The sequence below is a fragment of the Homo sapiens genome, chromosome 12 (assembly GCF_000001405.40).
Source record: "Homo sapiens chromosome 12, GRCh38.p14 Primary Assembly".
NCBI lineage: Eukaryota > Metazoa > Chordata > Mammalia > Primates > Hominidae > Homo > Homo sapiens.
The window spans coordinates 121,208,818-121,236,242 of NC_000012.12; the positions used below are offsets into that span (position 1 = coordinate 121,208,818).

General features: G+C 50.3%; 1 protein-coding gene and 1 long non-coding RNA gene across 11 annotated transcripts in view, besides 7 other annotated features; one reads left to right on the plus strand and one right to left on the minus strand.

The window, feature by feature from the left end:
• The window catches only part of LOC105370032 (uncharacterized), an 84,641-nt gene extending 83,386 nt beyond the window's left edge, over positions 1-1,255 (minus strand). The window contains exon 1 of one of the 2 annotated variants that reach the window (XR_001749352.3): positions 1,032-1,255. This is a non-coding gene — a long non-coding RNA (uncharacterized LOC105370032). The remainder of the gene's footprint in view (positions 1-1,031) is intronic. The other variant, XR_945459.4, reaches the window with a different exon arrangement.
• Positions 1,018-1,757: a silencer, noted in NCBI's record as "silent region_4970". NCBI's record gives its function as "represses an Ori minimal core promoter by ATAC-STARR-seq in GM12878 lymphoblastoid cells {active_cell/tissue: GM12878}" and the evidence as "EXISTENCE:reporter gene assay evidence [ECO:0000049][PMID:35858748]".
• Positions 1,312-25,289, plus strand: P2RX4 (purinergic receptor P2X 4). Of its 9 annotated transcripts, none has more exons than NR_046372.2 (13): positions 1,312-1,481; positions 8,317-8,464; positions 13,096-13,167; positions 13,277-13,349; positions 13,913-13,950; positions 14,130-14,226; positions 19,716-19,796; positions 19,908-20,049; positions 20,146-20,282; positions 23,597-23,690; positions 23,794-23,859; positions 24,180-24,275; positions 24,706-25,289. NR_046372.2 is itself a non-coding variant. In NM_001256796.2 (13 exons), the coding sequence occupies exons 1-13, from the start codon at positions 1,348-1,350 to the stop codon at positions 24,730-24,732; spliced, it is 1,215 nt and encodes a 404-aa protein (NP_001243725.1). In that variant the 5' UTR covers positions 1,312-1,347; the 3' UTR covers positions 24,733-25,289. The 9 variants fall into 9 exon arrangements, 7 of the variants coding, with proteins under 7 accessions (NP_001243725.1, NP_002551.2, NP_001248326.1 ...); NM_001256796.2 differs by lacking the exon at positions 13,913-13,950 and adding an exon at positions 8,138-8,185; NM_002560.3 differs by lacking the exon at positions 13,913-13,950.
• Positions 2,088-2,137: an enhancer, noted in NCBI's record as "active region_7158". NCBI's record gives its function as "activates an Ori minimal core promoter by ATAC-STARR-seq in GM12878 lymphoblastoid cells {active_cell/tissue: GM12878}" and the evidence as "EXISTENCE:reporter gene assay evidence [ECO:0000049][PMID:35858748]".
• Positions 14,580-15,080: an enhancer, noted in NCBI's record as "H3K4me1 hESC enhancer chr12:121661200-121661700 (GRCh37/hg19 assembly coordinates)". NCBI's record gives its function as "activates a minimal SCP1, AML or CMV promoter by ChIP-STARR-seq in primed H9 embryonic stem cells {active_cell/tissue: H9 hESC(primed)}" and the evidence as "EXISTENCE:reporter gene assay evidence [ECO:0000049][PMID:30033119]".
• Positions 18,502-18,551: an enhancer, noted in NCBI's record as "active region_7159". NCBI's record gives its function as "activates an Ori minimal core promoter by ATAC-STARR-seq in GM12878 lymphoblastoid cells {active_cell/tissue: GM12878}" and the evidence as "EXISTENCE:reporter gene assay evidence [ECO:0000049][PMID:35858748]".
• Positions 21,449-21,743: a silencer, noted in NCBI's record as "tiled region #10951; HepG2 Repressive DNase matched - State 8:EnhW". NCBI's record gives its function as "represses a minimal TATA promoter and a strong SV40 promoter by Sharpr-MPRA in HepG2 cells {active_cell/tissue: HepG2}" and the evidence as "EXISTENCE:reporter gene assay evidence [ECO:0000049][PMID:27701403]".
• Positions 21,690-21,739: an enhancer, noted in NCBI's record as "active region_7160". NCBI's record gives its function as "activates an Ori minimal core promoter by ATAC-STARR-seq in GM12878 lymphoblastoid cells {active_cell/tissue: GM12878}" and the evidence as "EXISTENCE:reporter gene assay evidence [ECO:0000049][PMID:35858748]".
• Positions 24,925-25,552: an enhancer, noted in NCBI's record as "H3K4me1 hESC enhancer chr12:121671545-121672172 (GRCh37/hg19 assembly coordinates)". NCBI's record gives its function as "activates a minimal SCP1, AML or CMV promoter by ChIP-STARR-seq in naive H9 embryonic stem cells {active_cell/tissue: H9 hESC(naive)}" and the evidence as "EXISTENCE:reporter gene assay evidence [ECO:0000049][PMID:30033119]".

Genomic DNA, 27,425 nt, shown 5'->3' on the forward strand with positions numbered 1-27,425 from the left:
CATGGTGAAAACCTGTCTCTAATAAAAATACAAAAATTAGCTGGGCGTGGTGGCGGGCACTTGTAATCCCAGCTACTCAAGAGGCTGAGGCAGGAGAATTGCTTGAACCTGGGAGGCGGAGGTTACAGTGAGCCGAGATCGCGCCACTGCACTCCAGACTGGACAAGAGTGAAACTCCGTCTCAAAAAAAAAAAGAAAAAGAAAAAGAAAAAACGTATCTGAAGGGAATGAACAAATACACATGCGGAAAATTGTATTCATGGGGTAGAACGGTGGCTGTTTCCCCCCCTTTCACTATTTTCTCTCCTAAAGTTGTGATAGCATTTTCTCAGTGGAAAGGATGACCACAGAATTATCTCCCCTGGGCTGCAACTAAGGAAGTATTTGGAGTGAGAATGCGACCAGGCTTCAAATCCAGGAGGGGTATTTTACAGGGCGTGTGGCTCTCACCCAGGGCTCACAGGACACCTGATATTTAGGCTGTTCCCCAAGAGGCTAAGGACAGCGCGGCCCCAGCTCCCCCAACCACAGCTGCCCAAGTTTAGGAGCCCGCACTCGTGAGCGATGGCTACTCCGCACAGCCCCGGGGTCCTCTACGGAAATCCCTGGCACCTATCAGTACCCCTAAGGGAGGTCGCTCGTTACCCCTCACTTGAACTCTGTCCCAAATGGGAGGTCACTCTCTCTTCGCGGACCCCATCTTCCCCGAAAGGGTCTCTTGTTCTCTCTGGCCCTCCTGAGAAGGTCATTACTCCCCAACTCGCCTTTTTTGTTGTTTTTTGGTTTCTGGTTTATTGAGGCAGGGTCTCGCTTCATCTCCCAGACTGGAGTGCAGTGGCGCGATCACAGCTCACACGGCAGCCTCTACCTCCTGGGCTCAAGCGATCCTCTCACCTCAGCCTCCCTGGGACTACAGGCGAGCGCCACTACGCCCGCTTTTTTTTTTTTTTTTTTTTTTTTTTTGTATTTTTGATAGAGACGAGGTCTCGCTATGTTGTCCAGGCTGGTCTCTAACTCAAGATTCCTCTCACCTCGGCCTCCGCAAGTGCTGGGATGACAGGTGTGAGCCACCGCCCCCGGCCCCTCGCCCGCCTTTTGAAGGAGCCTTTCGTCCTCAAGGGCGAGGCCACTCCCCCCCCGCGAGTTCCATGCCCCCTAGAGGGTCATCGTTCCCGACGGGGAGGTGGCGCCCTCCCCCGGGCCCCGGGCCCCGACCGCCCGTGCTGCCTCCTTCCGGGCCCTCCTCCGCGATGACGGCGCCGCCAGCAGGCCAGGCGGACTGGGCGGGGCTCCGAGCGGGGACTGGGACCCAGACCGACTAGGGGACTGGGAGCGGGCGGCGCGGCCATGGCGGGCTGCTGCGCCGCGCTGGCGGCCTTCCTGTTCGAGTACGACACGCCGCGCATCGTGCTCATCCGCAGCCGCAAAGTGGGGCTCATGAACCGCGCCGTGCAACTGCTCATCCTGGCCTACGTCATCGGGTGAGCGTGGGGCCGCGCGGGGGGCGCGGCGGGTGCTGCCCTCGCGTCCGCGCCGTGCGGCGGCTCATCCTGGCCTCGGTCACCTGGGCGAGTCCGGGAGCGGCGAGCCGAGGCGGTGACACCTTCCCTGGGCCCCAGCCGCCGCGCCGGGGCCCCGGGGGCGGGAGGCTGCTTGCTGCTGTTTTAAAACCACAGCCTGGGCCAGGCGCGGTGGCGCAAGCCTGTAATCCGAGCACTTTGGGAGCCCGAGGCGGGACCATCGCCTGAGCCCAGGAGTTCGAAACCAATTTGGGCAACATCGTGGGACCCCGTCTCTGCAAAAAATTAAAAATCATCCGGGCCTGGTGGCGCGCGCCTGGGGTCCCAGCTACTCAGGAGGCTGAGGTGGGAGGATCGCTTGAGCCCAAGAGGCTGAGGCTGCAGTGAGCTATGATCACACCACTTAACTCGAGCCTGGGAGACAGTCCGAGACCCGTCTGTTTACAAAATAAATAAAGGCAAAGCCTGGCTAGGCTGTTACCCTCTCCTGCCTGACCCCCCATAGTGCCCCTTGGCTGTAGGGGCTTCGCCCTGAACGTCTCAATCTTCGCTCTCCACTTCCCATCCTGCTGATTTGCTGACAAAACCAAAGCTTGGAATTTCCGCTTGGTTCCTTCTGGGTGGGTGGCTTTTGGTCATTTCTTTTGATCACTATGCGGTGTCACTATGTGGTAGTAGCGAGGTCAGACTGTAGCGAGTGTTTAAAGTTTGCTTCCTTTGTTTTCTGGGCTTGTGGGGCTTTTTGTGGTACCTGCCCTAGCCTAGTCAGTCATTCCCCATGCTGCCCCCTTAGGCTAGAGATGCCCTACCGCCCTCAGGCCTCGCTGAATGTGCCATTGTACTTGAAGGCACCTGTTACTTTTTTAATTTTTTTATTTTTTTGAGACGGAATTTCTCTCTTGTCGCCCGGGCTGGAGTGCAATGGCACGATCTCGGCTCACTGCAACCTCTGCCTCCCGGGTTCAAGCAATTCTCCTGTCTCAGTCTCCTGAGTGGCTGGGATTACAAGTGCCCGCCACCACGCCCGGCCAATTTTTGTATTTTTTAGTAGAGACGGGGTTTCAGGCTGGTCCTGAACTGACCTCAGGTGATCCGCCCACCTCAGCCTCCCAAAATGCTGGGATTACAGGCGTGAGCCCCCACGCGGGGCTGGCACCTGTTACAATTGAATACAACGCGAGAGAGAAGATGATAATTACCTTGCCACCTGGGGCCACTTTAAAGGCTTACCTGGGGTGTTCTGGTGTCTACAGCTGCTGGGCTGACACGTATTGCCTAGTGCAGTGGTCTCCAAACTGCACATTGGAACCATCTGGAAATCTTTGGCTCCCATCCCCAGACCCTTTTTTATTTTTTTGATGGAGTCTCCCTCTGTCGCCCAGGCTGGAGTGCAGTGGTGCAATCTTGGCTCGCTGCAACCTCCACCTCCCTGGTTCAAGCGATTCTCCTGCCTCAGCCTCCTGAGTAGCTGGGATTACAGGCACCCACCACCATGCCCGGCTAATTTTTGTATTTTTAGTAGGGACAGGGTTTCGCCATGTTGGCCAGGCTGGTCTCGAACTCCTGGCCTCAGGTGATCCACCCGCCGCAGCCTCCCAGAGTGCTGGGATTACAGGCGTGAGCCACCGCGCCCAGACGCATCCCCAGACCTTCTGATTTAATTGCTGCAGAGTATGATCGGCTGCCCAGGTGATTCTCATGTTCAGCAACGTTTCGGAACCAATGAACTGTGTTTCCCAAGTTTACCTGATCATGGAAGACTCATCTGAGGAATTGTTTAAAAGTAACAGATCCCCCCGTCTTTGGGGTGAGGTTTGGAATCTTAACACTGCCCAAGGGAAGCCCAAGCAGGTTTGGCTTCCAATATCTGTCAGCAGCAGCAGTAGATACAGACAGTATTCAAGAGGATGGCTTTCCAGGTGCAGACTCAACATCAGAACCACCTGGCCCACACCCAGATTTGGACTCATTGGCTCACACCTGTAGTCCCAGTGCTTTGGGAAGCCAAGGTGGGAGGATTGCTTGAGGCCAGGAGCTCAAGACCAGCCTGGACACAAGACCAGCCTGGACAACATAGCGAGACCCCATCTCTAAGAGAAAAATAAAGTTTAAAATGGTAAATTGTACTGATGGAGCAGTGCAAAAAAAAGAATTTTTTTTTTTTTTTTTTCTGAACACGGTGGCTCATGCCTATAATCTCAGCACTTTGGGAGGCCGAGGCGGGTGGATCACCTGAGGTCAGGAGTTCGAGACCAGCCTGGCCAACATGGTAAAACCCCGTCTCTACTAAAAGTACAAAAAATTAGCCAGGCCTAGTGGCTAATGCCTGTAATCCCGGCTACATGGGAGGCTGAGGCAGGAGAATCGTTTGAATCCAGGAGGCGGAGGTTGCAGTGAGCCCAGATTGCGCCACTGCACTCCAGCCTGGGCAACAAGAGCAAAACTCCATCTCAAATATATATATATATATATATATATATATATATATTTTTTTTTTTTTTTTGGAGACTCACTGCTAGCCAGTTAACTGAACTCACATCCCTGGTTGGACCTGAAGCATTTGGGGGCAGGAGCTCCCCTGCAGCTTTTTGCTTTTGGCGTTTGCTGCTAGTGGGAGGATCAGTGCACATCTACCTTAGGGTACCTGTAAAATTACAACTGCGGAAAATATCCATAGTGGTGTTGCACTGTATGGTAGCCACTAGTAACTTGCACCTGTTGAACACTTAACCGTTCCTACTCTACACTGAGATGTGCTATAACCTTAAAATACACACTGGATTTCAAAGACATAGTACAGAAAAAGAGGCTGGGCACAGTGGCTCATGCCTGAAATCACAGTACTTTGGGAGGCTGAGGTGGGAAGATCGCTTGAGCTCAAGAGTTTGAGACAAACCTGGGCAACATAGCGAGACCTTGCCTCTACAAAAAAATACAAAAATTAGCCTGGCATGGTGGCACACGCCTATAGGCCTACCTATTTGGGAGGTTGAGGCAGAAGGACTGCTTGAACCTGGGAGGTTGAGGCCACAGAGAGCTGTGATCACACCACCCTCCAGCCTGGGCAACAGAGCAAGACACTGTCTCAAAAAAACAAAGAGTACCACTATCACATGAAAACATTTTTTATTGATGACATGTTAAAATATTTTGGATATATTGGGTTACACAGAATATATCATTACAATTAATTTTTCCTGTCTCTTTTTTCTTTTTTTCTTTTTAAACGGCGCCTTGCTTTGTCACCCAGACTGGAGTGCAATGCACTGCAACCTCTGCCTCCCAGGCTCAAGTGATTCTACCATCTCAGCCTCTGGAATTATGGGACTACAGGTGCACACCACCATGACTGGCTAATTATTGTGTTTTTGTTTGTTTGTTTGTACAGATGAGAAATCTCATCTCTACAATCATGAGGTTTCCATGTTGCCCAGGCTGGTCTCGAACTCCTGAGCTCTAGCAATCTGTCTGCCTCGGCCTCCCAAAGTGCTGGGATTACAGGCATGAGCCACCGTGCCCAGCCCTTTCTATTTCTTTTTACTTTTTGACATGGCTACTAGAAACTTTTAAATTACAGGGTCTTGCCCTGTGGTAGCTCACGCCTGTAATCCCAATACTTTGGGAGGCTGAGGCAAGTGGATCCCTTGAGCTTAGGAATTTTGAGACCAGCCTGGGCAACGTAGTGAAACCCCATCTCTACCAAAAATACGAAAAATTAGCTTGGCATAGTGGCGCACACCTGTGGACCCAGCTACTTGGGAGGCTGAGGTGGGAGGATTGCTGTAGCCTGGGAGGCGGAGGTTGCAGTGAGCCAAGATTGTGCCACTGCACTTCAGCCTGGGCGACAGAGCGAGAGCCTGTCTCAAAAAAAAAAATATGTGGCTCGCGTTATGTTTTTATGGGACAGCGCAGCTCTGTAGGATTCCTTATGACGCATTCACTATCTCGGTCATGAGAATCTTTAAAGCAGTAAATGCTTTGCTTTTGTCCGTCTTGCTATAATCAAAACTGACTCAGGACCTGCATTAAGGCTCTTTTTTTTTTTAACCTCATCTCTTAACTTTTTGATGCAACTCATCTTAGTGAAATTGTGGTCTCCTCCTACAGCAACCCTCCCTCAAAAAAAGACCGAACACGCAATTCTCATCTATCTAACTCTGTTAACAATCATATGAGGAGGAAATAATCACATGATAATGAGTGGCATGAAACCCTGTGTCTCTAAATTAAGCAACTCACTGTACTTGATGAGTACATCAGTCTTCCTGCCCCAAGCTTTTGTGTGTCAGACTGGAATTAAATGGAAGCTTACACTGCAGCTGAATTCCTAGAAGCCCTGGACTTGTCAGGGGAAAAGCCCATGGGGGGAAAGCCCATCTCTAGGCTGGGCAATGAACTTGGAGACTGCTCGATCACACACACTCATAAGTAACAAAACCATTAATTTCTTTTCTTTTTTTTGGTGGAGGGACAGAGTCTCACTCTTGCCCAGGCTGGAGTGCAGTGGCATGATCTCAGCCCACTGCAATCTCCACCTCCCGGGTTCAAGTGATTCTCCTGCCTCAGCCTCCCGAGTATGTGGGACTACAGGCACCCACCACCACACCCAGCTAATTTTGTGTATTTTTAGTAGAGTCGGGGTTTCACAATGTTGGCCAGGCTGGTCTTGGACTCCTGACCTCAACAAAACCAGTGAATTTCTGAAGTCTCAGCATCTAGGACTTAGAAGAAGGAGAAGCCTAGCATTTCCTGATTCTATAAATAACAACACTGATAGTCTCTAGTAGATGTTTAACAGCAGTTCGAAGGGGAGGGGTTCTGATTTGTAGTACTGGCCAATTTCCACGGTGTCAGTACTTGCTCTGTGACCAACGATGACTCACAAACATTGTTGTAAACATTTGACCTACATTAATTCTTTTACCCTCACAAGAATCCTGTGAAGATCTACTATCATTCCCAGATTATAGATGGGAAAAACTGAGGCACAATGAGGTTAAGCACCTTGGCCAAAGTTATGCCTCGTGAATGGTGGAGCTGAGCCATGAACCAAGACCTCTGCCTCCAGTCTGTCCTAACCCCTATAAGCTAATGCCTGTAGATGGTTTTTTTTTTTTTTTTTTTTTTGAGACAGAGCCTTGCCCTGTCGCCCAGGCTGGAGTGCGGTGGCATCACAGCTCACTGCAGCCTCCGTCTCCCAGGCTCAAGTGATCCTCCCACCTCAGCCTCCCAAATAGCCGGGATTTTTATTGGACAGCACAGCTCTGTAGGATTCCTTATGACGTATTCACTGTCTCAGTCACGAGAATCTTTAAAGCAGTAAATGCTTTGCTTTTGTCCATCTTGCTATAATCAAAACTGACCATGCCCGGCTAATTTTTTATTTTTTGTAGAGATCCCTATGTTGCCCAGGCTTGTCTCGAGCTCTTGGGCACAAATGATCTTCCCCCCTTGACCTCCCAAAGTTCTGGGATTACAGGCGTGAGCCACTGTACCCAGCCCCTTTGGATTTTTAATTGTTCAAACTGGTAGTCATAGTCCCACTTCAGAGGAGAGAACCATATATGTGACCAGAATTCTTGGGGGAAAAGTAAGAAACTACTCTTAAAAGTTCCTTAAAGGGTAGAATTCTCTTTTCTAGAAAGAGTAGCCTAGGGTTGTCCAATCTTTTGGCTTTCGTGGGCCACACTGGAAGGAGAAATTATCTTGGGCCACACATTAAATATGCTAACACTAACAATAGCTGATGAGCTAAAAAACAAACTTTTTTTGATCACACAAAAAAAAATCTCATAACGTTTTAAGAAAGTTTACGAATTTGTGTTGGGCCTCATTCAAAGCCATCCTGGGCCGCATGCGGCCTGTGTGCTATGGGTTAGACAAGCTTAGAGTAGAGCATAGTGGGTGAGAGAAGAGGCTTCAGATGCTTCTGGCTTGAGTTCAAATCCTGACTCTGCCACTCACTAGCTGTGTGACCTTTGGCAAGTGACTTAACCTCTCTGTGTTTCCATTTCCTCCTCTGTAAAATGGAAATAATAATAATGATACCTGTCTCATAAAGTGGTCAGGATTAAATGAGTTAATACATATAAAGAGCTTAGATCAGTGCCTGGTGCCTATAAACACTCCAGTGGTAACTGTTATAATTTGTATTATCTCTTGGTGATTCCCATAGGTCACAGGCATTGAAAGTGCTCAAAGGGCCAGGTGCAGTGGCTCACGCCTGTAATCCCAGCACTTTGGGAGGTCGAGGTGGGTGGATCACCTGAGGTCAGGAGTTCGAGACCAGCCTGGCCAACATGGTGAAACCCCGTCTCTACTAAAAATACAAAATTAGCCAGGCGTGTTGGCGCATGCCTGTAATCCCAGCTACTTGGGAAGCTGAGGCAGGAGAATTGCCTGAACCCGGGAGGCGGAGGTTGCAGTGAGCCAAGATCACACCATTGCACTCCAGCTTAGGCAACAAGAGCGAAACATCGTCTCAAAAAAAAAAAAAGAGAAAATGCTCAAATGTAATAAAGACAGTATTCATCGAGCGTTTTCTCTGTGCCATCAGTGTGCTGAGTGCTTTACCTGCACCATCTCATTTATTTCCCGCAAACCCTCCTGTGGTTTAGGTGCTACCATCCCCATTTGGCAGAAGTGGAAATGGAGTCCCCTAGAAGGTACGTAGCTTGTAGAAAGTCATGTAATTAGTCAACATCGTACTTCCAGCCACTGGCCAGCAGAAGCTTCCCCATCAATTCAAATCCATTGAATCCTAATGGCAATTTAAGAGGCCTGTTTTATTTTATAGGTGGGTGTTTGTGTGGGAAAAGGGCTACCAGGAAACTGACTCCGTGGTCAGCTCCGTTACGACCAAGGTCAAGGGCGTGGCTGTGACCAACACTTCTAAACTTGGATTCCGGATCTGGGATGTGGCGGATTATGTGATACCAGCTCAGGTGTGTCTCCCACTGTGTCTTCTGTCTAACACTGACACCTTGCTCTTTACTGACTTTGCACACTTGATTAATGATTGACGTGGCCTGAGTCCTGACATCACCAATGCCCAGAATGATTGTTTTAGTCCAAGAAAACGGTGCAGCCAGATCTCTTTTCAGCTTAGGATCTAACAGAGTGTATCCAGGCAGCTGTGGTTCCTCAGCTTGAAAGCATGGCAGGCTGAAAGCCCTGAAAGATGAGAAAACAAATGTCTTAAATCCTGATAGAAATTCAAGTGGAAATATCACCTTTCCACATTTTGGGTTTGCATTATTGTCCCAAATACACGAGGTAAATCTTTTCAGACAGTGTAAAAACTTTAGGCCGGGCACAGTAGCTCACGTGTGTAATCCCAGCACTTTGGGAGGCTGGGGCGGGCAGATACCTTGAGCCCAGGAGTTTGAGACCAGCCTGGGCAATGTGGTGAAACCCCATCTCTATAAAAAAAAAAAAAAAGAAAAAAAAAGAAAAGAATTAGAGACCATTAGAGACCAAAACCCAAACAAGAAGGAAACAGAGACAGCAGCACAGGACTCCATCGGGAGCGAAAGGAAGGGAAGACATTGTTTACTGCTGCATACTAGTCTTCAGGCTGTTAATCTGCAAAGCTCCAAGTTAAACATTGACTCTTTAGTCCTGGTAACAGCTCTGCACCACACAGTCAAACCCGACATAGCCCTCCAGATGGCCTATGTGCTAAGGGACCGAGGGCGACCAGTAGAGATAAGCTGCCAACTCTTGGCTCAGAGCTCTTGCCAGGGAAAACAAGAACTCCAGAAACTCTTTCTTCAGGTGTGTTCTTCCCCCTGCCTTCTCAAGAGAAGGGTCTTGTGGGGTCCCCAGAGAGGAGACCGAGCTAATGAGCCATAAAAGTCAGGAGGAAGGGCCAGGTGCGGTGGCTCATGCCTGTAATCCCAGCACTTTGGGAGGCCGAGGTCGGTGTATCATGAGGTCAAGAGATTGAGACCATCCTGGCTAACATGGTGAAACCCTGTCTACTAAAAATACAAAAATTAGTGGGGTGTGGTGGTGGGTGCCTGTAGTCCCAGCTACTAGGGAGGCTGAGGCAGGAGAATCTCTTGAACCTGGGAGGCGGAGGTTGTAGTGAGCCGAGATAGTGCCACTGCACTCCAGCCTGGTGACAGAGCAAGACTCCGTCTCAAAAAAAAAGATCAAGTGGAACAGGGGATTTGCAGTTGGCTGGAGGGGGCAGTCCTGTTAGCATGTACCTGTCTCAGCAGAGAGACGGTTGCCTCCTGTGCAGGCATAGCCTTGTCCCGGTGAGCTCTGGGAATGTCATGCTCGGTGTGTTTACTGGGCAGATGAGGAAGGGCACAAGCCCCGCTTTTGTCCCTTGGTGGAAAGGAGCACCCCACAACTCAGCCTTCCGTGGTGGATCTGGGCGGGGGCCGTGTGAGTTCCCCAGGGCTTTCCTCATGAGCTTTCACGACGTCTGTGTTCTTTGTAGATGGAACACAGTCATCTATTTGCAGCCCCTTGGCTCATCTCCAGACTGAAATTACCCTTAATTTGAAGTAGATAAGTGATAGGAAACAGGCCAGATGTGGTGGTTCATGCCTGTAATCTCAACACTTTTGGAGGCCGAGGCAGAAGGATCACTTGAGCCCAGGAGTTTGAGGCTGAAGTGAACTGTGATCACGCCACTGCACTCCAGCTAGGGCAACAGAGCAAGACCCCAACTCTAAAAGAGAGAGAAAGAAGGAGAGATAGGAAACGAAAAGTAGACCATACTGGATTGTTCCAAGTATAACTCAGGAGAGTCGTAGGAGCGGCCTTCTCTAACACCAAATGCAGAGTGTGTTTGTACATTGAACACCTGGGAACGTGACAGGTGGCGGGAGAGAGGCTGCAGCTCATGCCACATCCTCACGCCTCCTCCTGTGGCCTTCTCCTTGTCTCCCAACATAGTTTGCCCTAGGCCTTTGGAGGACGCCAGCTATTTCTAGAGCTTCCACCACTTGTCAGACCGTGGGGTTGGGGATGTCTACAGACTGGTTGGTTTCTGAGTTGCCCTGATCCCCAAGATGGCTCCCACTACTGACTGTTATCCTCAGGAGTGTGAAATGCTAAAAGCTTTGGGCATCTCCTTTTAAAATGCCTGGGCCCAGCCAGGCGCAGTGGCTTACGCCTGTAGTCCCAGCACTTTTGGAGGCCAAGGCAGGAGGATCACTTGAGCTCAGGATTCAAGACCAGCCTGGGCAATATAGTGAGACCCCATCTTGATTGGATGGGTGGTGGATGGATGGATGGATGGATGGATGGATGGATGGATGGATAGATAGATAGATAGATAGATAGATAGATAGATAGATAGATGGAAAGAAAGAAAGAATAGATAAATGATAGGATAGGAGAAAGAAAGGGAAAGAAAGAAAAGAGAAGAGAAAAGAAAGAAAAGGGATAGGATAGATGACAGATGATAGGATAGATTAGATAGGTGATAGATAATCGATAAATAGAAAACAGATGATAGATATAGGATAGATTAGATAGATAGATAGATAGATAGATAGATAGATAGACAGATAATAGATAGATTAGATTAGATGGATGGACACCAGCCCCCAATGAGAGGAGGATCCAACTAGAATCTTTTGGGGTCTTTGCCTTTTATTCCTTATATGAGGAGGTCATTATCAGCAATTCTTCAGTCTCATCCCTAGCAAATTGCTTTCCAGAAACTCTAAATCAATTATTTGGCACCTTTATACATATAAGGAGGAAACAGAACCTTTTCAAAGAGAAATGTCACTTGCTGACCCTGACCGAGTCTTCTCTAGAATGTTTGATTTATAATTTCAGTTAGGAAAGAAAACCAGCCAGATTTGAGCCCCATGAGGCCTCATGTTTTTATTCCTCTGAGATAATCTGGTTGGCAGGGAATGTTTTTAGCACTTGTTGGCTCTTTCCCTCAGTAAGTCAAGTTTGATTGAGAAACCATTGTTTCAGTTTGCAGACCCCCCCCTTTTTTTAACTGCAGTCAAATTCACTTATAGAAACTAACCATTTTAAGTCGGGCACAGTGGCTCATGCTTGTAATCCCAGCACTTTGGGAGGCTGAGGCAGGTAGATCACTTGAGGCCAGGAGTTGGAGACCAGCCTAGCCAACATGGTGAAATCCTATCTCTACTAAAGATACAAAAATTAGCCAGGTGTGGTGATGTACACCTGTAGTCCCAGCTACTCAGGAGGGTGAGGCTGGAGAATCGCTTGAACCCAGGAGGCGGAGATTGCAGTAAGCCAAGATCGTGCCACTGCCCTGCAGCCTGGGCGACAGAGCAAGGCTCTGTCTCAAATAAATAAATAAATAAGAAAGAAATTAACCATTTTAAAATGAAAAATTCAGCACATTTAGTGCATTCACAGTGTTATGCAAGCATCACCTCTATCTAGTTCAAAACATTTCCATCACCCCAAAGGGAAGCCTCGTATGTTACACAACCACTCCCCATTCCCCACTTCTCTCACTCCCTGGCAACCCGTAAGTGCTTTGTCTCTATGGACTTGACTGTTCTGGAAATTTCACATCAATGTAATGGTATCCTGTGTGGCCTTTGTGTCTGGCTTCTTTCACTCAGCATCATGTTTTTGGGGTTCATCCATGTTGTAGCCTGTATCAGTGCTTTATTCCTTTATTTTATTTTTTGAGATGAAATCTCACTCTGTCACCCAGGCTGGAGTGCACTGGCGTGATCTCGGCTCACTGCAACCTCCACCTCCCAGGTTCCAGTGATTCTCCTGGCTCAGCCCCCTGAGTAGCTGGGATTACAGGTGCCCGCCACCACACCCGGCTCCTTTTGTGTGTGCGTGTGTCTGTGTGTGTTTGTGTGTGTGTGTGTGTGTGTGTGTGTGTGTTTTTAGTACAAAGTTTCACCATGTTGGCCAGGCTAATCTGGAATTCTTGACCTCAGGTGATCCTCCTGCCTCAGCCTCCCAAAGTGCTGGAATTACAGGTGTGAGCCACCATGCCTGGACCCTTCATTCCTTTTTATTCATGGCTGAATCACATTCCATCATGTGACTAGACTAGGACAGACATTTGGGCTGTTTCCACCATTTTTTTTTTTTTTTTGAGACAGAGTCTCGTGTCATCCAGGCTGGAGTGCAGTGGCGCGATGTCGGCTCGCTGCAACCTCCGACTCCCGGGTTCAAGCAATTCTCCTGCCTCAGCCTCCCAAGTAGCTGGGACTACAGGTGCCCGCCATCACACCCGGCTAATTTTTGTATTTTTAGTAGAGACGGGGGTTTCACTGTGTTGACCAGGCTGGTCTTGAACTCCTGACCTCGTGATCCGCCCGCCTCAGCCTCCCAAAGTGCTGGGATTACAGGCTTGAGCCACCGCGCCCGACCTGTTTCCACCTTTTGGCTCTTGTGAAAAGTGTTGCTCTGAATATTTATGTACAAGGACTTGTTTGAGTCACTGTTTTCCATTGGGTTATAAACTTTGATGGGAGAGAGCGGGAGAGCACGCGGTCAGTGTTTGAGTTGTCCTCTTCAGTCAGCGTCTGCCTTTCTTGGCTCTCCGTGAGTCCTCTGAGCGTGGCTTGCCCGTGCTGTCTCCCCTCTGCAGGAGGAAAACTCCCTCTTCGTCATGACCAACGTGATCCTCACCATGAACCAGACACAGGGCCTGTGCCCCGAGGTAGGAGGCCCCCGGGAAGAGCCCCAGGCCCCACACCCCTCTCCACGCCTGTCCACCTGTGTGTGGGGCCGGGCCACGTGGACTTTCTTTTCGCTCCTTCTTTTTCCAGATTCCAGATGCGACCACTGTGTGTAAATCAGATGCCAGCTGTACTGCCGGCTCTGCCGGCACCCACAGCAACGGTACGAGCTTGTGGCCTCCTGGGGAGGGCGGCCCCTGAGCAGATCGCCCCCACTGTGGAGCGTCTCTGATAGAGAAATCTTCCCAATTCCTTCACATGACCCTGGGTGAGCCAGGTGCCGAGGCTGGGGTCCTGGAGCCCCTCTACATTCACTGCTGTCATTGGAGCCCCACAAGCCATCCCAGCTCTTGCCCTACTGTTTTTTTTTTTGTTGTTGTTGTTGTTTTTTCTTGTTTTTTTTTTTGTTTTGTTTTTTTGTTTTTTTGAGCCAGAGTCTCGCTCTGTCACCCAAACTGGAGTGCAATGGCATGATCTCGGCTCACTGCAACCTCCACCTCCCAGTTTCAAACAATTCTCCTGCCTCAGCCTCCCGAGTAGCTGGGATTACAGGCATGCACCACCACGCCCAGCTAATTTTTGTACTTTTGGTAGAGATGGGTTTTACCATGTTGGCCAGGCTGGTCTCGAACTCCTGACCTCAGGTGATCCACCCGCCTCAGCCTCCCAAAGTGCTAGGATTACAGGCATGACCCACTGTGCCTGGCCTCTTGTCCCATTCTTTAGCTTGGCATCACCCTGGCTGAGATGTGGCTGGCACACAGGTAACTGTCTTCCTCCGATTCTAACTCCTGGACAGTGACACTGTCTAAATCCCAGATTTGCACAGCTCAAGACTGGCTGCATGGGAGGCTGGATGGGGCTCTCACTCCCTACTCCAAAAAGGTAGAAAATAGGAGACCCCTGTGGACATGGGACCCCCCTGCCACCCTTGTGCTTGTAGGAGTCTCAACAGGCAGGTGCGTAGCTTTCAACGGGTCTGTCAAGACGTGTGAGGTGGCGGCCTGGTGCCCGGTGGAGGATGACACACACGTGCCACAGTGAGTCCAGCCCTAGGGAAGGAAGTGCCTTTTTGTTTTGTTTTGTTTTAGACACAGTTTCACTCTGTATCCCAGGTTGGAGTGCAGTGGTGCGATCTTGGCTCACCACAACCTCCACCTCCCGTGTTCAAGTGATTTTCTGTGCCTCAGCCTCCCGAGTAGCTGAGATTATAGGCACCCACCACCACGCCCAACTAATTTTTTGTATTTTTAGTAGAGACGGGGTTTTGCCATGTTGGCCACGCTGGTCTCCAACTCCTGACCTCAAGTGATCCACCTGCCTTGGCCTCCCAAAGTGCTAGGATTACAGGCGGGAGCCACCACACCCAGCCAGAAGCCACCACACCCAGCCGGAAGCACCTTCAACTCTGCGTGTCAGCCTTGAACAGAGGTGGTCAAGGAGTTACACCTGTGTGTTGTGGCTTTTTGTGTGTTTCTGGTGTCTGTATGAAGTCAGGCTGCCCTAGGATGGCTGCTCTCAACCACAAGGCAGCGACCATCAGTGGCAAGATGGGCCACAAGTAGTCTGTCACTCACGAGAAGGGTGCAGGTGACTGACTTCCTTGTATGTTAGGACTCTGTCAGTTGCAAATAACTGACAGGAAACAGTTCTCAGTGCCTTAAGCACATGTGCACAAACACATACACACATACACATGCGTGCACAGCGGGGGGGCAGTGTATTGTCCGGCTGACCAAAAAGATCCAGCGTGGCCAGGAGAATCTCGTGCCAGGCTGAGGCAGAAGAATCTCTTGAACCTGGGAGGAGGAGGTTGCTGAGCTGAGATGGTGCCACTGCACTCCCTCCTGGGCGACAGAGGCCACTGCACTCCTGCCTGGGCGACAGAGTGAGAGACAAAGGACAACACCCTAGTCTCCCTTCCTGGCTCTGCATCCCGCCGTGCCAGCTTCACTCGCAGGACCCACAGCATAGCCCGGGAGGCAGCGCTGCACTTACAGCCCCCCAAGTCTGAGTCTCCCTTTCCAGCTGTCCCTGGAGATTCTAGACCTGTCCATCATCGTATCAATGGCCATATCTCTCAACCCATCTCTGTGGCTGGGGAATGGGTTTTGCTTATCAGCTTGGGCCTGGGTCACATGCCCACCTCTGCAGCTGGGGCTAGAGTCAGACCCACCCAAGTGACATAGGCAAGCATTGGGGAGATATGGCTTCCAAAGGACATTTGGGGTTCTGTTACCAGAAAAGCTGGGAGCAGATGCTGGGAAGAAAACAACGGATGTTTGCTACAGTGTATTTTAAACTAAACTAGACAGGTTCATCCTGGCGCGGTGGCTCATGCTGTAATCCTAACACTTTGGGAGGCTGAGGCAGTCGGATCATCTGAGGCCAGGAGTTCAAGACCAGCCTGGCCAACATGGAGAAACCCCGTCTCCACTAAAAATACAAAAATTAGGGTTAGGGTGGCGCTTGTCTGTAATCCCAGCTACTTGGGAGGCTGAGGTAGGAGAATTGCTTGAACCCGGGAAGTGGAGGTTGCAGTGAGCTGAGATCGCTCTTCTGCACTCTAGCTTGGGCGACAGAGAGAGACTCTGTCTCAAAAAATAAAAATTTAAAAAAATAAATAAATAAAAATTTAAAAATCAACTAAACTAGCCAGGTTCAAGGTTGCTCTAGAATAACATTCTTCGTGGTTGTAATTGGCTGTGCTTCATGGGGTGGAGTCCGGGCAGCGCTCTGAGAAGTGCGTGCAGCCTAGGGCCTTTCTCACCGAGAGCTCAGACCGAGGTCTCCATGAGCCCCGGGGAGCAGGAAGCCACTGAACCTCATCCTGGGTGTGTTGAGACAGAAGGAAAGGCTGAGAACTGCAGATTTAGAGATTGCTAAGGCAAAGGAAGGAGATAGAAAAAGAAAAGGAATCCTAGCATCTTAGAGCTGGAGAGGATCTCACAGAGCTGTGCTCTCCAACACAGGAGACTCTGGCCACGCGTGGCTATTGAAAATTGAAATATGGCTGGGTCCGAAAGGAGATGGGCTGTCCATAGGAAGTGCACTTATCATCAAATTGGATTTTTTTTTTTTTTTTTTGAGACGAAGTCTCGCTCTGTCGCCCAGGCTGGAGTACAGTGGCGTGATCTTGGCTCACCACAACCTCTGCCTCCCGGGTTCAAGTGATTCTCCTGCCTCAGCCTCCTGAGTAGCTGGGATTATAGGCACCCCCCACCACACCTTGCTAATTTTTGTATTTTTAGTAGAGATGCAGGTTTCACCATGTTGGCCAGGCTGGTCTCGAACTCCTGACCTCAGGTTATCCACCTGCCTCAGCCTCCCAAAGTGCTGGGATTATAGGTGTGAGCCACTGCACCCAGCCCGATTCTGTTTATTATTTATTTATTTTTTATTTATTTGTATTTATTTATTTATTTGAGATGGAGTCTCGCTCTGTCGCCCAGGCTGGAGTGCAGTGGCGCCATCTCTGTTCACTGCAAGCTCCGCCTCCTGCGCTCACGCCATTCTCCTGCCTCAGCCTCCCCAGTAGCTGGGACTACAGGCGCCCACCACCACACCCAGCTAATTTTTTTGTATTTTTAGTAGAGAGGGGGTTTCACTGTGTTAGCCAGGATGGTCTCGATCTCCTGACCTCGTGATCCACCTGCCTTGGCCTCCCAAAGTGCTGGGATTGCACGCGTGAGTCACCACGCCCGGCCCTGAATATTTATTATGAAAAAAAGAATGTATAATATCTCATTGATTTTTGTATGTTGGTTACATGTTGAAGTAATATTTTGGGTTACTGTATAAAATTTTACTTGTTTCTTTTACTTTGTAGTGTGGCTATTAGGAAACTTTAAGTTGGAGTGTGGCTTGTAGTTGTGTCTCATAAGATACTTTTTTTTTGACACAGGATCTTGCTCTGTCACCCAGTGCAGTGATAACGATCATGGCTCACTGCAGCTTCGAACTCCTGGACTCAAGTGATCTTCCCGCCTCATCCTCCTGTGTAGCTGGGACCACAGGGGCGCACCACCATGCCCAGCCAACTTATTTTTTGTAGAGACAGGGTCTCACCATGTTGCCCAGGCTGGTCTTGAACTCCTGGGCTCAAGCAACCCACCTGCCTTAGCCTCCCAAAGTGCTGGGATTACAGCGTGAGCCACCACACCTGGCCTCACAATATACTTTTATTGGACATCACTGTTGCAGATCTAATGCGGTGTAAAATGATTTTTAAGTGCACACTGATATAAGAAATAACATTGGCCAGGCACAGTGGCTCATGCCTATAATCCCAGCACTTTGGGAGGCAGAGACGGGTGGATCACTTGAGGCCAGGAGTTCAAAACCAGCCTGGCCAACATGGTGAAACCCCCTCTCTACTAAAAATATAAAAATTAGCCAGGCGTGGTGGTGCGCACCTGTAATCCCACTACTCAGGAGGCTGAGGCACGAGAATTGCTTGAACCCGGGAGATAGAAGTTGCAGTGAGCCAAGATCATGCCACTGCGCTCCAGCCCGGGTGACAGAATAAGACCCTGTCTCAAAAACAGAACAAAGACTAAAACGTTTTGGAACTAGACAGAGGTGATGATTGCACAACATTATGAATGTACTAAATGCCACAGAATTGTCCAGTTTAAAATGGTTAATTTTATGTTATGTGAATTTCATCTCAATTTCTCTAAAAAGGTGAGTTGATCTTAAAGTATTACATGTGAGGTACACAGGTGTGTGTGTGGGTGTTACGGTACAGGAAATGACAAAAACTTGAACACCCCTGTTGTAAGCCATCCCTCTTGAGGGAGTGGGGACTTTGAAGACCTGAGAGAAGTCCAGGCACAGTGGCCCATGCCTGTAATCCCAGCACTTTGGGAGACCGAGGTGGGTGGATCATCTGAGGTCAGGAGTTTGAGACCAGCCTGACCAACATGGTGAAACCCCATCTCTACTAAAAATATGAAAAAATTAGCCAGGCGTGGTGGTGCACGCCTGTAACCCCAGCTACTCGGGAGGCTGAGGCAGGAGAATCACTTGAACCCAGAGGTTGCAGTGAGCCGAGATCGCGGCATTGCACTCCAGCCTGAGCAACAGGAGCAAGACTCCATCTCAAAAAAAAAAAAAACCTGAGAGAAGCCCCTTGGTCCCAGCCTTTCTCTGACAGCAGTGGTGACAGGCTCAGCTCTCCTCCGAGTGCAGCCCTGTCACTGACCTTGCTCCTGTCTCAGGGCTGGGAAGACTGTTGATGTTGTCATTCCAAAGATCCCACCTGGATCAGGGGAACATCCCCCACAGAAGGGTTAGCCATACAGTGCCAGATTCTCCAGGAGAAATTCACCAAAGAAATGGAGTCCCCTTGGGGACAGATTCAACTTGTATTGTCAGCCAGGAGCTGACGTGGCACTTCTGAGAAGAGGCCGGCGCACCTGCTGGCGGGTGCTTTGTGCACTTTTCAGACAGGTCAGGATCCAGCCTGTAGGCAAATTTACTTTTGCTTTGACCTGTAAAACCGGATCTGCCCAGCCTTCATTCTCTCCCTGGAGAACGCCTGCGGCCCCAAAGCCAGGCCTACTGATTTCCAGTGAGGCCACAAATCCCCTCCCTGGTTAGCAATTCAGTTTTCACCGCCTTGGGGGAGAGGGCCTGCCCTTCCTTGAGGGGAAGAACCTGGAAGGCTCGGCTCAGTGTCTTCTCTTGGAAGAGAAGAGTGTGCATGCAGAAGGGTGTAGAAAATGCTAGACGTGTTTCATCTTCTTGACAAAATGACATTGTAAGATGTGTGTATATGTTTTTAAAAATATTACATAGGGGCTGAACATGGTGGCCCACTCCTGTAGTCCAGCACAGGGAGGCGGAGGTAGGAAGATTGCTTGAGGTCAGGAGTTCAAGACCAGCCTGGGCAATGTAGGAAGACTTCATGTCTACAAAAAAAAAAAAAAAAAATTTCATTAGCCAGGCATGGTGATGCATGCCTATAGTTCCAGCTACTTGAGAGGCTGAGGTGGGAGAACCCCCTGAGCCTGGGAGGTCGAGGCTACAAGAAGCTGTGTTCATGCAACTGTACTCCAGCCTGGGCAACAGAGCAAGACCCTGTCTCAAAAATATATATAGGCTGGGCGTGATGGCTTATGCCTGTAATCCCAGCACTTTGGGAGGCTGAAGCAGGCGGATCACTTGAGGCCAGGAGTTGGAGACCAGCCTGACCAACATGGTGGAACCCTGTCTCTACTAAAAATACAAAAAAAGTTAACCAGGCATAGTGGCTCACACCTGTGTAATCCCAGCTACACGGGAGGCTGAGGTGGCAGTGAGCTGAGATCGCGCCATTGCACTCAAGCCTGCACTCGAGGTGACAGAGTGACTCCATCTCAAAAAAAAAAAAAAAAAAATATATATATATATATATATACACACACACACACACAGACACACACACACAATACATATATATATGTGTGTATATATATATATATAACATGGTTATGTGAGTATTTGTATGTATTTTATTAACAGTAATGTTATCATTGTTTTTCAGACCTGCTTTTTTAAAGGCTGCAGAAAACTTCACTCTTTTGGTTAAGAACAACATCTGGTATCCCAAATTTAATTTCAGCAAGTAAGTGGTGGCCAGGTGTGTGAGTTCACCAGGGTCTTGGAGAAACTTCTGGCTCTTCTCTCTTCTCTGAGGTTTTCGTCGCTCTGATTTTCTGCTTCCTCTCGACTTTAGGAGGAATATCCTTCCCAACATCACCACTACTTACCTCAAGTCGTGCATTTATGATGCTAAAACAGATCCCTTCTGCCCCATATTCCGTCTTGGCAAAATAGTGGAGAACGCAGGACACAGTTTCCAGGACATGGCCGTGGAGGTGGGTGCGGGCCCTGGCTCTCCTGACCCAGCCCTGGAGGCGTCTCGTGCCAGGTGCTGAGGAAAGCCTTGCCGTGTCTCTGCTGCTCATCCCCAGGGAGGCATCATGGGCATCCAGGTCAACTGGGACTGCAACCTGGACAGAGCCGCCTCCCTCTGCTTGCCCAGGTACTCCTTCCGCCGCCTCGATACACGGGACGTTGAGCACAACGTATCTCCTGGCTACAATTTCAGGTGGGCGTGAGCTTGGGCCCCTCGCTCATGTTGTAGGGGGTGCTGGTGGCTGCGTACGTGCCAGTGGGCCGCCCACTGAAGACCAGCACTCAGGCAGCACCCCAAGGGCAGGCTGCCGGTCCCCCGTCCAAGGCGGCGGGAAGGCCATGCTGGGAAAATGCCCTTAGTGGTGTCCTGCTCCGGGGCCATCCCGGCCCCCGAGACCCCTCCTTGCCCTTTCCTGCCGCAAGAAACATGTTGAGATGGTTCTTAGAGCAGCCAGGAGAAGCTGGGGGCTTAAGCTTTCCAGCACCTGCCTCAGCCATGACCTCCATTCACTGCCTCAAGGAGCGGATGATCTTGTGATCCTCCAGTCCAAAGGCCTCTGGGGCCTGGCCCAGGAATTGGTTTCTCAAAGGTTGAACCTGTGCCAGAATCTCCAGAGTGCAGGGGACACAGGTCTGAGGCCCCTGAAAGGCCTTGCTGGGTTCCCTGCTGCAAATGCTGGCATCTCGGTGTCCTGGGGCAGATGTAAGCGAGTCCCACAAACAGTGGCTTGCAACTACAGGACTTGATTCTCTCACAGTTCTCACAGTTCTAGAGGCCACAACCTAAAATCCAGGCATCAGCAGGGCTGTGCTCGCTCTGAAGGCTCTGGAGAGAGTCCTTACTTGTCTCTCCTGGCTTCTGGTAGCCCACGGTGTTCCTTGGCTTGTGGATGCATCACTCCAGTCTCTGCCTCTCCTGTCATGAGGCCTTCTGCCTTGTATGTGTCTCTGTGTCTTTTCTTCTTGTAAGGATATCAGTCACTGAATTTAGGGCCCACCCTACTCTAGTATGACCTCATCTTAACAAATTACGTCTGCCAATATCCCATTTCCAAATAAGGTCACACTCCCAAGCTTCAGGTAGATGTGAATTTTTGGGGACACACTGTTCAACCCACTACAGCTGATGATCTCATGATCAGAATCTATAGCCAGGTAAATTTCCACGTACCCTTTGTTGCATTTTTCACAGTCCTTAAAAAGGAAGCGCTCCAGGCCGGGCGCAGTGACTCACACCTGTAATCCTAGCACTTTGGGAGGCCAAGGCGGGCAGATCACCTGAGGCCAGCATGGCGAAACCCCATCTCTACTAAAAAAAATACAAAAATTAGCTGGGCATGGTGGCGCATGCCTGTAATCCCAGCAACTTGGGAGGCTGAGGCAGGAGAATCGCTTGAGCCAGGGAGGCAGAGGTTGCAGTGAGCCGAGATCGCACTGCTGCACTCCAGCCTGGGCGACAAAGCAAGTCTCCGTCTCAGGGGGAAAAAAAAGAGGCCCTGCAAGGACCATCCCTGGGCGCGGTCAGCGGTGCTTTGGGCTGCACTTGCCTCCCCCTAGTGGTGACGTGTGGAATCCGATCCATACGGGATCCTAAGACCTCTGTAATTGTGGGATCTGCTGTCCTTTTGAACCTTCTGGCTCACTGAGTAAAGCAGATATTTGAATTTTTCTTTTCTAGCAGTTAGATTTGTGTTATTCCATCTCTACTGTCACACACTTCTTGTGGAAACCTCAAGCTTAGGTCAGAGCCCTAAAACGGAAAGAACTCAGGACGCCTATCCCCCAACCTCGGGCAGCACCAGGCCCTGCCTGTGTCTCCCAGGCCTGGCCCATGGCGTGGAAGTTGTGGGCCAGATAGAGCATGGAGCTAGGGTGCGGGCCGAGGCTCCTGATGGATCCCTGGAGAACATGGGGCAGCAGATGGTATGTCTTGACGGTTCTTCACCAACCATCCATCCCCTGCTCATGCGTGTGCGCTCTCTCGCGTGCTCGCTCTCTCTCTCTCTCATATATGTATATGTATATATGTGTATATATATATATAGCCATTATATATATAGCCATTATATATATATATTTTTTTTTTTTTCTTCTTTTTTAAGGGAGTGACTTGCTCTGTCACCCAGGTTGGAGTGCAGTGGTGCGATTTCAGCTCACTGCAGCCTTTGCCTCCCGGGTTCAAGACATTCTCCTGCCTCAGCCGCCTGAGTAGCTGGGATTACAGGCGCCCGCCACCACACCCAGCTAATTTTTTGTATTTTTATTAGAGACGGGGTTTCTCCACATTGGCCAGGGTGGTCTCGAGCTCCTCACCTCAAGTGATCCACCTGCCTCGGCCTCCCAAAGTGCCGGAATTACAGGTGTGAGCCACCGCACCCAGCCATATATTTTTAAATGGTCTTACTGAGATGCAATTCACATGCCATACCGTTCACACATTTGAAGTGCAGAATTCATAGTTTTCACTATATTCACAGATAAGTGCAGGCTTCACCACAGTCGATTTTAGAACATTTCCGTCATCTCAAAAAGAAACCCTGCACCCTTCTGTCATCCCCCGGCCCCTGGCAACAGTGGTCTACTTTCTGTCTCTGCAGATGTGCCTCTTCTGAGCATTTCATATAATCAATATGTGGCCTTTTGCGTCTGGCTCCTTCCCCTTAGCCTGATGTTTTCAAGCTTCATCCATGTCGTAGCCTGTGTCAGTACCTCGTCTCTTTTTATGGCCAAATCATATTCTGCTGTGTTGACAGACGACGTTTTGTTCATCTCTTTATCTGTGTGACGAACGAGTGGTTCTTTTTGTTGTTGTTGTTGTTGTTGAAGACTGTGTGCACAGAATCAATGTTTCTTTGAAAAAATAAATAAATTTAAAAAGCCCTAGGTCAAGAGATTGAGACCATCATGGCCAACTTGGTGAAACCCCGTCTCTACTAAAAAATCCAAAAATTAGCTGGGCATGGTGGTGTGCGCCTGTAGTCCCAGCTACTCGGGAGGCTGAGGCAGAAGAATTGCTTGAACTGGGGAGGTGGAGGTTGCAGTGAGCCAAGATTGGTGCCCCTACACTCCAGCCTGGCAACAGAGGGAGACTCCATCTCAAAAAAAAAAAAAAAAAAAGTCCCTGCACTGATGCTGTGTTGGGGCTGGCTTAGTCCCCTCCTGCAATGCTGGCTGGTCACATTCTTACTGTTAGATGTTGGAGGTCAGGGTCCCTTGAGGGAGGCAGGCAGGATGTACCAGGTGGGATGTTGAGAGCAAACTGTTCAGGTTCAGGAGAGGACACTGGTGCTGGAGGAGGAGGTCTCCCTGTGCCCCTGTACCTCGTGGGCCCCGCATCCTCCTGCTTGCACAGCCCGCCTCAGCCAGGAGAGGCCCCGAGCCGCTCCAGCGTCCATTCAGCCGGCAGAGTGGACCATTCACCTGTGCCAGCTCCACTCTAACGTTCTCTCACAGGGCCCAAGGTCCTGCCCCAGCCATCTCCCCCTGATCCATCCTCCTTCCCCTCAGGTTTGCCAAGTACTACAGAGACCTGGCTGGCAACGAGCAGCGCACGCTCATCAAGGCCTATGGCATCCGCTTCGACATCATTGTGTTTGGGAAGGTAGCTCGCCGCCACTGGCTCCCCTCCGTCACTCCCTGCAGGGACAAGGGGCCTCTCCCTGCCCCTGCAGAAACACTTTTTTTCTTTTTCGGTGTCTTGGCAGGCAGGGAAATTTGACATCATCCCCACTATGATCAACATCGGCTCTGGCCTGGCACTGCTAGGCATGGTGAGTGGTTTAGGCCCTGCCTTCACCCTCACGGTGAGGTGAGACCCTGGGCTGGGGTCCTGGTCCTGGCCCTAGGCCCTAGACCTCAGATGTGTTTCTAAACTTGACCCTCCTACCTTCTTTCCCTTGGCCCCCAGCCCTCCTCCCACCTTCCCTTCTCCAAGACCACCCCCCTCAGGTCCCAGCCTTCTCCCAAGAGATGGGAGTGCCTTTCCATTCCGGTAAAGATTCCAGGCTTCTCAGGAAGGGGCACGCAAAGAATAAGATGGGTTGATGGGTTGCAAGCATCCTGGCTCACTCTCACCCTATGCTAAACTCAGGCGACCGTGCTGTGTGACATCATAGTCCTCTACTGCATGAAGAAAAGACTCTACTATCGGGAGAAGAAATATAAATATGTGGAAGATTACGAGCAGGTAGGCCCCTCCTGGCCCCCAGCAGGCACAGGCCTCTCATCTCTTGGGTGTGGGAGCCCTGGGCGTGGGCCTGTCTGGGGAGGCCCTTCTGCAGAGGCTGGCACCAGTGTGGCGTGGTGTCCCCGTTAACCCGGGCAGTCCTGCCACTCTCAGCAGCTGCTCCATCCCTAGGCCCCTGTACTAGATTGACTCTTTAAACCCAGCCTCGTTTCAATGAGCGACATCTCAGGTTGGTGATGATAATGCATGCTCTGAGAATGCCTGTGGGCACACACTACTTCAGTGCACCTTGCGGAACAGGAAGGGTTGGGTTCCAGGCCTGGGACCAACTTGAGAACCCCTGGCGGTGAAGTCCCAGGAGCGCACCTCCCTCCCGCCTGCCACAAGGGGTCCCAGGGGCACCTTGATCTGCTTGTGTCCTTCTTTGCAGGGTCTTGCTAGTGAGCTGGACCAGTGAGGCCTACCCCACACCTGGGCTCTCCACAGCCCCATCAAAGAACAGAGAGGAGGAGGAGGGAGAAATGGCCACCACATCACCCCAGAGAAATTTCTGGAATCTGATTGAGTCTCCACTCCACAAGCACTCAGGGTTCCCCAGCAGCTCCTGTGTGTTGTGTGCAGGATCTGTTTGCCCACTCGGCCCAGGAGGTCAGCAGTCTGTTCTTGGCTGGGTCAACTCTGCTTTTCCCGCAACCTGGGGTTGTCGGGGGAGCGCTGGCCCGACGCAGTGGCACTGCTGTGGCTTTCAGGGCTGGAGCTGGCTTTGCTCAGAAGCCTCCTGTCTCCAGCTCTCTCCAGGACAGGCCCAGTCCTCTGAGGCACGGCGGCTCTGTTCAAGCACTTTATGCGGCAGGGGAGGCCGCCTGGCTGCAGTCACTAGACTTGTAGCAGGCCTGGGCTGCAGGCTTCCCCCCGACCATTCCCTGCAGCCATGCGGCAGAGCTGGCATTTCTCCTCAGAGAAGCGCTGTGCTAAGGTGATCGAGGACCAGACATTAAAGCGTGATTTTCTTAATCCCTGTCTGTTGTCTCATAGCATGTGCTAGAACTTTCCTTCCTACCCTTTTACGACAACCAGTAAATCCACTATTCCGGCTCACTGTGCTCAGAAAAGGTCCATGGGATGGTCTGTTTCTGGCACTTATGCACATTTTCCCCTACTTCTTTATTTATTTATTTTATTTTTGAGGCAGAGTCTCACTCTGTCGCCCAGGCTGGAGCGCAGTGGTGCAATCTCGGCTCATTGCAACCTCTGCCTCCCGGGTTCAAGCGATTCTCCTGCCTCAGCCTCCCGAGTAGCTGGGATTACAGGTGCATGCCACCATGCCCGGCTAATTTTTGTATTTTTAGTAGAGACAGGGTTTCACCACATTGGCCAGCCAGGCTGGTCTCGAACTCCTGACCTCAAATGATCCATCTGCCTTAGCCTCTCAAAGTGATTGGATTACAGGTGTGCGCCACCACACCTGGCCTATTTATTTTTTTTATTACCCAGGCTGGAGTGCAGTGGCGCAATCACTGCTCACTGCAGTCTCCACCTCCTGGGCTTAAGCGATCCTCCTACCTCAGCCTCCCATAGTGCTGGGATTACAAGCATGAGCCACTGCACCCAGCTGCCTACTTTTTAAAGCCTAATAATTTGTCATTAGCTTGTCTTCCTGCACAGTTCACAGGACACTTTTTCTCTAGTGACATCTTACCTGTGCCTCCATTTTGACATAAAATTACAATTCTATGCTGTGGGTAACACAATTTTTGGTAACATGGAAGTGGCTTCCTCTCCCTTCCCTGTTTGCTTCCCAAAAGTCTCCAACCAAAAGCAGCAGCACGCATACCTAGCTCCGCACAGGTTCGAAATGTTCATGAAGCTATTTCCAGCTGCAGCTTCACACCAACTAAATGTTTGTGTTTTTTTGTTTTTGAGACAGAGTCTTGCCCTATTGCCCAGGCTGGAGTGCAGTGGCATGATCTCGGCTCACTGCAACCTCTGCCTCCTGGGTTCAAGCAATTCTCCTGCCTCAGCCTCCCAAGTAGCTGGGATTACAGGCATCTGCCACCACACCCAGCTAATTTTTGTATTTTTAGTAGAGACAGAGGTTCACCATGTTGGCCAGGCTGGTCTGGAACTCCTGACCTCATGATCCACCGCCTCAGCCTCCCAAAGTGCTGGGATTACAGGCGTGAGCCACTGCACCCAGCCACACACCAGCTGAATTCTGCATCAGGTATTCAGAATCCCCCTAGAGGAAGCAGTTTGCCCTTCGCCTCTGCCATGAATTCACTTCCAAGTACTGAGAGGAACCATTATTTTACAAATACTCTGCTTCTGCTGGATAAATGGCCAACCTGGGCTTTTCTTGCTTTTGGAAAAAAAAAAAAAAGTTTACCAACTCCCTTTATTGAAGCTCTGGTTCATGCTGCCTTTTAAAAAAAAATGCTTGTTGCCTGTAATCCCAGGACTTTGGGAGGCCAAGGTGGATCACTTAAGCGTAGGCATTCAAGACCAGCCCAGTCAACATGGTGAGACCCTATCTCTACAAAAAATTAAATTAGCCGGGTGTGGCGGTATATATCTGTAGTCCCAGCTACTTGGGTGGCTGAGGCCGGAGGATCACTTGAGCCCAGGAGGTTGAGGCTGCAGTGAGCTATGATGGTGCCACTGTACTCCAGCCTGGGCACCAAAGTGAGACCCTGTCTGAAAAAATAAAAAGTGCTTGCTTAGGCACATGGGTCAAATGAAGCTGGAATGTTTAGGAATGGTGATATGGGCTGAATGTGTCTACCAAAATTCACATTTTGGAAACTTCATCCCCAAGGCAACCTTATTGGGAGGTGAAGCCTTGGGGAGGTGACTGAGTCAGGATTGCGCTGCCCTCATGAATGGGGTTGGTGCCCTATACGAGGGCTAGAGAGGGAGCTCATCCCCCGTCTGCCTTGCCACTGTCTGCCACGCGAGGACAAGTGTTCCTCCCTCCAAAGGATGCGGCACCAAGGCACCCTCTTGGAAGCAGAGAGCAGCCCTCACCAGATACCAAACCTGCCAGCACCTTGATCTTGAACTTCCTGGCCTCCAGAAATGTGAGAAATCAATTATTGTTCTTTATAAATTACCCAGTCTTAGGTCCCTGTAACAGCAGCACAAAACAGACTT